Here is a 6,390-nt window from a genome sequence, read left to right as displayed (position 1 = left end):
GGCTCACACCTGTAATCCCAGCACTTTGGGAGGCTGAGGTGGGCAGATCACCTGAGGTCAGGAGTTCAAGACCAGCCTGGCCAACATGGAGAAACCCTGTCTCTACTAAAAAATGCAAAAATTAGCCGGGCATGGTGGCACGTGCCTGTAATACCAGCTACTCGGGAGGCTGAGATAGGAGAATCGCTTGAACCCAGGAGACAAAGGCTGCAGTGAGCCAAGATCCCGCAACTACATTCCAGCCTAGGAGACAGAGTGAGACTCTGTCTCAAAAAAAAAAAAATTATAAGAAAAAACAAAAACGGGCTGCGCACAGTGGCTCACGCCTGTAATCCCAGCACTTTGGGAGGCTGGGGGGAGCTGATCACCTGAGGTCAGGAGTTCGAGACCAGGCTGGCCAAGGTGGTGAAACCCCATCTCTACTAAAAATATAAAAGCCAGCCAGGCGTGGTGGTGGGCACCTGTAATCCCAGCTACTTGGGAGGCTGAGGCAGGAGAATCGCTTGAACATGGGAGGCAGAGGTTGCAGTGAGCCTAGATCACACTATTGCACTCCAGCTTGGGCAACAGGAGCAAAACTTTGTCTCGAAAAAGAAAAAGAAAAAGAAAAAGAAAAAAAATGTCCAGTACAAAAATGGGCAAGGACAAGAGGCTCAGGCAGGAGGATCACTTGAGCCCAGGCGTTCCAGGCTATAGTGCCTGATGATCCCCCCTGTAAATAGCTGCCATACTCCAGCCTGGCAACATAGTGAGACCTTTAAAAAAAAATGTATATATATATATATAAAATATGTAACTCTATATTCTTTGGGAACATATATATAACATATATGTTACATATAATATATGTATTTAATATATAACATATGTTATATATACACATATATATGTAACATATATACCATGTTATATATAACATATATTTCATATATATAACATATATGTTCCCAAAGAATATAAAGAGATAGTTCATAGAAAATAAAATGCAAGCAAAAGCAAAAAATGAACAGTTGCTCAATCTCATTTGCTGTAAGAGAAATGCAAATTATGGCTATGCTGAGATACCATTTTTCTTCTACCAGATTAGAAATATGTAAAAACTTGCCCACACACGGTGTTTATGAGTCTGTAGGGGAAAACGGCAGTCTCTTATCTTGCTTGTGGGAGTACAAATTAGTATTACCCTTATAGAGGGGAATTTCCTTTTTTTCAGAATTACTGATATACATACTCTTTAGCCCAATAATCCTACTTTTAGAAATTTATTGTATAAAAATATTTTACTGGGATAAAATAACATGTATAGTGTTATTTATTGCAGCACTATTTATAATAATGAAAGATTGGAAAAAACTGTCAACAAAGAACTGCTAAATAACGAGACTTTAATCCAGTGCAATACTATACAGCTATAAAAAAAATAAGGAAGATCTCGGCCAGGCACGGTGGCTTATGCCTGTAATCCTAGCACTTTGGGAGGCCGAGGCGAGCAGATCACTTGAGGTCAGGAGTTCAAGACCATTCCTGGCCAGCATGGTGAAACCCCGTCTCTACCAAAAATATAAAAAATTAGCCGGGCATGGTGGCGGGTGCCTGTAATCCCAGCTACTCGGGAGGCTGAGGCAGGATAATCGCTTGAACCCGGGAGGTGGAGGTTGCAGTGAACCGAGATGGCGCCATTGCACTCCAGCCTGGGCAACAAGAGCAAAACTCCAACTCAAAAAAAAAAAAAAAAAAGGAAGCTCTCTATATACTAATAGAAAAATATCTCCAAGATATATATTTTAAAATTGCTTTTAAAAATAAGCTAGCTATTGGGCTAGGCACAGTTGCTCATGCCTGTAATCTCAATACTTCGGGAGGTCAAGGCAAGAAGATCATTTGAGCCCAGGAGTTCGAGACCAGCCTGGGCAACACAGTGAGACTGTCTTTACAAAAAATTAAAAAAAAAAAAAAGCTGGCCATGTTGGCGTGCACCCATAGTCCCAGCTACATGGCAGAGTGAGGCAGAAAGATCACCTGAGCCCAGGAGTTCAAGGCTGCAGTGAGCCATGATTGTACCACTGCACTGCAGCCTGGGCGACAGAGGGAGACCCTGTACCTAAACAAAACAAACAAAAAGCAACCACAAAAAAACAAAAGAAGCTAATGAGCTCATCCTGCTTTACTTTTTCTTCACTCAGCATCTTCTCAGGCTCTACAGCTGTGGCTGGGTGGCATCTAGTCTGCTGCTTCTGTTGCATGGCATTCCATGGTTTTCAAGCACATTTGGGACCCAATTTTCTCAGAGACCAGAGGATGAAGCTGCGAAGATATTCTGAGGGAGAAGAGAAGTGGGGTTGAGGCTGTTTCTCTGATGTAGCCTCATTCTTTGCAGTAAAAATGAAGGCTGTAGTGAGAGGTCTGGGGGAAATCAGGGCAGTGGGTGTGGAGAATGGCAGTCAGTCATCAGGAGAAGAAATCTAGCTTGCCACGTGGCCTCCATCGAGGTCAACCAGCATGAATCAGGAGGATGCAGGCAGCATGGTTTAGTGCCCATTCCCAGCAAAACTCAGCCACCTGGTTTTATGAGCAGAGGACTAAAAGGGACTAGAAAGTATGGGCTGCCTGCCTGTGGTTACAGGTCCCTTGGAGACAGCAAGGACATAGTGGGAATGGCCTCCCAGGGCACTAAGGCTGAGCTGGGATGGAGTTGCAGTGAAGTTGGATGGAAATGGAGCCTGAAGGGACTAGAAGAATGGTGTGCCTCATTTTCCAAATTTTAAATAACATTGTATATAGCCATTGCTAATAATATTTAATGCAAGCAAATGGTAAACACTAATGTCAAGGACTATTGTAAATCTAATATGCATCTTGCTTATTCAACTGTATGTCATAACCCTCATGCCATTTGTGTTATTTAGTTCAATGGCTTGATATTTTATCGTGTGTAACATCTAATGTGTATTTATTTATTTATTTTTGAGACAGAATCTCCCTCTGTTGCCCAGGCTGGAATGCAGTGGTTTGATCAGAGTTCTCTGCAGCCTTGAACTCCTGGGCTCAAGCAATTTTCCTGCCTCAGCCTCCCGAGTAACTAGGACTATAGGCATGACCCACACCACTCCTGGCTATAACATGTTCACAATTGAAAATTTGTTTTTTTTATTTTTTTACTATTATAGATAATATCAAAGTTTTTTTAAAAAAGAATGATATGCCTAAGTGCTTCACTTTCATTATCGCAGTTGTCCATACAACAGCCCTCTGAGATAGGAATTGTCACCTCTAATTGACAGATTCAAAAGGATACTCTGTTAGAAAGGTAAAATAATTTGCCCAAAGACACATAGCTCGTGAATCTTCACCTTAAGCCACTATGCAAATTGTTGGGAAAAGAAAATAACTTTTATTTGGTGAGGTGGCAGGTGCCTGTAATCCAGCTTCTTGGGAGACTGAGGCCTGGGAATCGCTTGAACCTGGGAGGCGGAGGTTGCAGTGAGCTGAGATCGCGCCACTGAACTCCAGCCTGGGCGACAGAGAGAGACTCTGTCTCAAAAAAATAAAAATAAATAAAATAAAAATAACTTTTATCTGAGGAATGCAAATCCTTTTAATTATCAGACCCAGAGAGACAGTAACATGACACACAATTGCACCCTATACCCTGCACTCCCCTTTAAGTTATGTATTCATCTCTTGAAACTGCTTGCTACTTCTACAGGTAGCTATAAATTATCCTAATAATGGGACACCAGACACTATAGCCAATAACTAATCAATGTTATTTCTGAAAACCGGTGAGAATTCCTAACAAATAACTTTGTATCATTCCACTCACTGTCCTCCTTTTTTACCTTTCTTTTCTTTTCTTTTTTGTTTTTTGAGACGGAGTCTCACGCTCTCACCCTGGCTGGAGTACAATGGCGCAATCTTGGCTCACTGCAACCTCCATCTCCCGGGTTCAAGCAATTCTCCTGCCTCAGCCTCCCAAGTAGCTGGGATTACAGGTGCCCACCACCACACCTGGCTAATTTTTTGTATTTTTAGTAGAGACGGGGTTTCGCCATGTTGGGCAGGTTAGAACTCCTGACCTCGTGATCGGCCTGCCTCGGCCTCCCAAGGTGCTGGGATTACAGGCGTGAGCCACTATGCCCAGCCCTTTTTTACCTTTAAAAATGCATTTTGGGCCGGGCACAGTGGCTCATGACTTTAATCTCAGCACTTTGGGAGGCTCGGGGGGGTGGGCGGTGGGGCAGATTACTTGAGGTCAGTAGTTTGAGGCTAACCTGGCCAACATGGTGAAACCCTGTGTCTACTAAAAATACAAAAATTAGCCATGCATGGTGATGTGCACCTGTAGTCCCAGCTACTCAGGAGGCTGAGGCAGGAGGATCACCTGAGCCCGGGAGGCAGAGGTTATAGTAAGCCAAAACTGTGCCACTGCACTCCAGCCGGGTGACAAAGAGAGGCCCTGACACACACACACACACACACACACACACACCCCAAAACAAAACAAAACAAAAACCTTTTTGTTTTTTGAGACAAGGCCTCGCTCCGTCACCCAGGCAGGAGTGCATTGGCATGATCACATTTCACTGCAGCCTCGACCTCCTGGACTCAAGTGATCCTCCCACTTCAGCTCCCCACACAGCTGGGACCACATGTGTGCGCCACCAGTCCTGGCTAACTTTTTCTTTTCTTTTTTTGAGATAGTCTCACTCTGTCACCCAGGCTGGAGTGCAGTGGCACAATCTCAGCTCACTGCAACCTCCGCCTCCCGGGTTCAAGCGATTCTTATGCCTCAGCCTCCCGAGTAGCTGTGACTACAGCCGTGTGCCACCACGCCTGGCTATTTTTTGTATTTTTAGTAGAGATGGGGTTTCACCATGTTGGCCAGGCTGGTCTTGAATTTCTGGCCTCAAGTGATCTGCCCACCTCAGCCTCACAAAGTGCTGGGGTTATAGGTGTGAGCCACTGTACCCAGCCTAAAAATCCACTTGTAACTGCTGCTAATCGGGATGTATATTCAGAATAATTTGAATCTATTCTCCAGGGTTACAATCCTTAAGTTTAGCCCAAATAAACTCTCTACTTATGTGAAGTTTGCTTCATTTTATGTTTACAGAGTGTTCGTGAGTAACCAGCTTTGTTACAAACCGGAAGGGATAGTCCTGATTTGAGAGTTTTCTGCTTCCTTTCCATCCTGGCTTGAAGTTGGCAGCATTTCACCCTAGGCCATGGAACAAGAGGTGGGGTCAGCATCTTCCTAGGGTTCCCAGAACCAATCCGGACTGCCCGGGACCTCTCAGAGTCTCAAAGGACCTGCTAGGTTTTTGTTTTTAAAAGATGGAGTCCCCGTGTTGCCCAGGCTGGTCTCAAACTCCTCAGCCTCCCGAGTAGCTGGGATTACAGGCATGTGCCACCATGCCCAGCATGGACCTGTTAGCTTGAGGCTCTCACTGACCTCTCCCTGCTCTCTCTGGGGACTTTTGCTCATCACTCAGAGAAGCTCTGTGGAGAGCAGGTGGTGGCTGCCATCTCTTAGAGAGAGAGGGAGGACGACAAGTGGGAGAACAGTCTTTCAAAGAGGCTCCAAAGAGAGTGTGACCTATTCTTTCAGGCAGGACTGGAGACGGAGAGGAAGCAGGGAGGGCTGACAGGACAGGAAACGATTCCTCTGAAGGCGGCGTGGGGTGGTGATAATGGAGGGAAGGCGGCTTTATATCCAGGCAGACTAGCTTTAGTCTTTGAAGTCACAAAGAAGGCAGGGGCCAGGGCTGGTGCAGACAATCAGTCACCAGATTAAGGAAGATCAGAATCCCACCTGCCTCACTAAGCACACAAGGGCTGGGTTTAGTGCACGTGGAAGGAAGCTAGCGACCCCAGGAAGCTGCACAGGTACACAGAGACAGGAAGGGTTTAGCTTCATTGGGGATGACAGATCTCTAATCTAGGGGAAGTTGGGGGTGCTGTCTCTACCTGAGAGGCTGAGAAGCGCATGTGCTTGGGCTCCAGTGTCCCTGCCAGAAACCAGAAGGGGAGGCTGTGGAGGGCTCTGGAAGGACAGGAGGAGAAGTACAGTTTAGGGGCTGCTGTGAGTGGCCTGGGTGTTCTCACTACTGCAGGGGGCTGGGGCTGGAGTTGGGGTGTGGGCACCTGGGACAGAGACCCCGAGGTCAAAAACAGGTGGACCCAGAAATAAGTGTTTCTTCCATGCCTCCTGCAAGGACAGTAGCTTGACAAGCAACAAATTTCTTTTTTTTTTTTAATTTTCTTTTTAATTCTCAGCAAGGCAAGTTACTTCTATATAGAAGCGTGCGCCCTTATAGATGGAACAATGGTGAGCACACATTTGGACAAGGGAGGGGAAGGGGTTCTTATCCCTGATGCACGTGGCCCCTG

General features: G+C 45.6%; 1 long non-coding RNA gene across 1 annotated transcript; it reads right to left on the bottom strand.

Moving 5' to 3' along the window:
• Positions 2,085-6,043, bottom strand: LOC105375072 (uncharacterized). The gene is made up of 3 exons (XR_926835.2): positions 5,968-6,043; positions 5,146-5,218; positions 2,085-2,317 (listed from the first exon to the last, which is right to left on the bottom strand). It is a non-coding gene; the product is annotated as an uncharacterized LOC105375072 (long non-coding RNA).

The sequence above is a fragment of the Homo sapiens genome, chromosome 6, assembly GCF_000001405.40.
Source record: "Homo sapiens chromosome 6, GRCh38.p14 Primary Assembly".
In the NCBI taxonomy this organism is placed as follows: Eukaryota; Metazoa; Chordata; class Mammalia; order Primates; family Hominidae; genus Homo; species Homo sapiens.
This window is presented reverse-complemented; position numbering and strand designations above follow the sequence as displayed.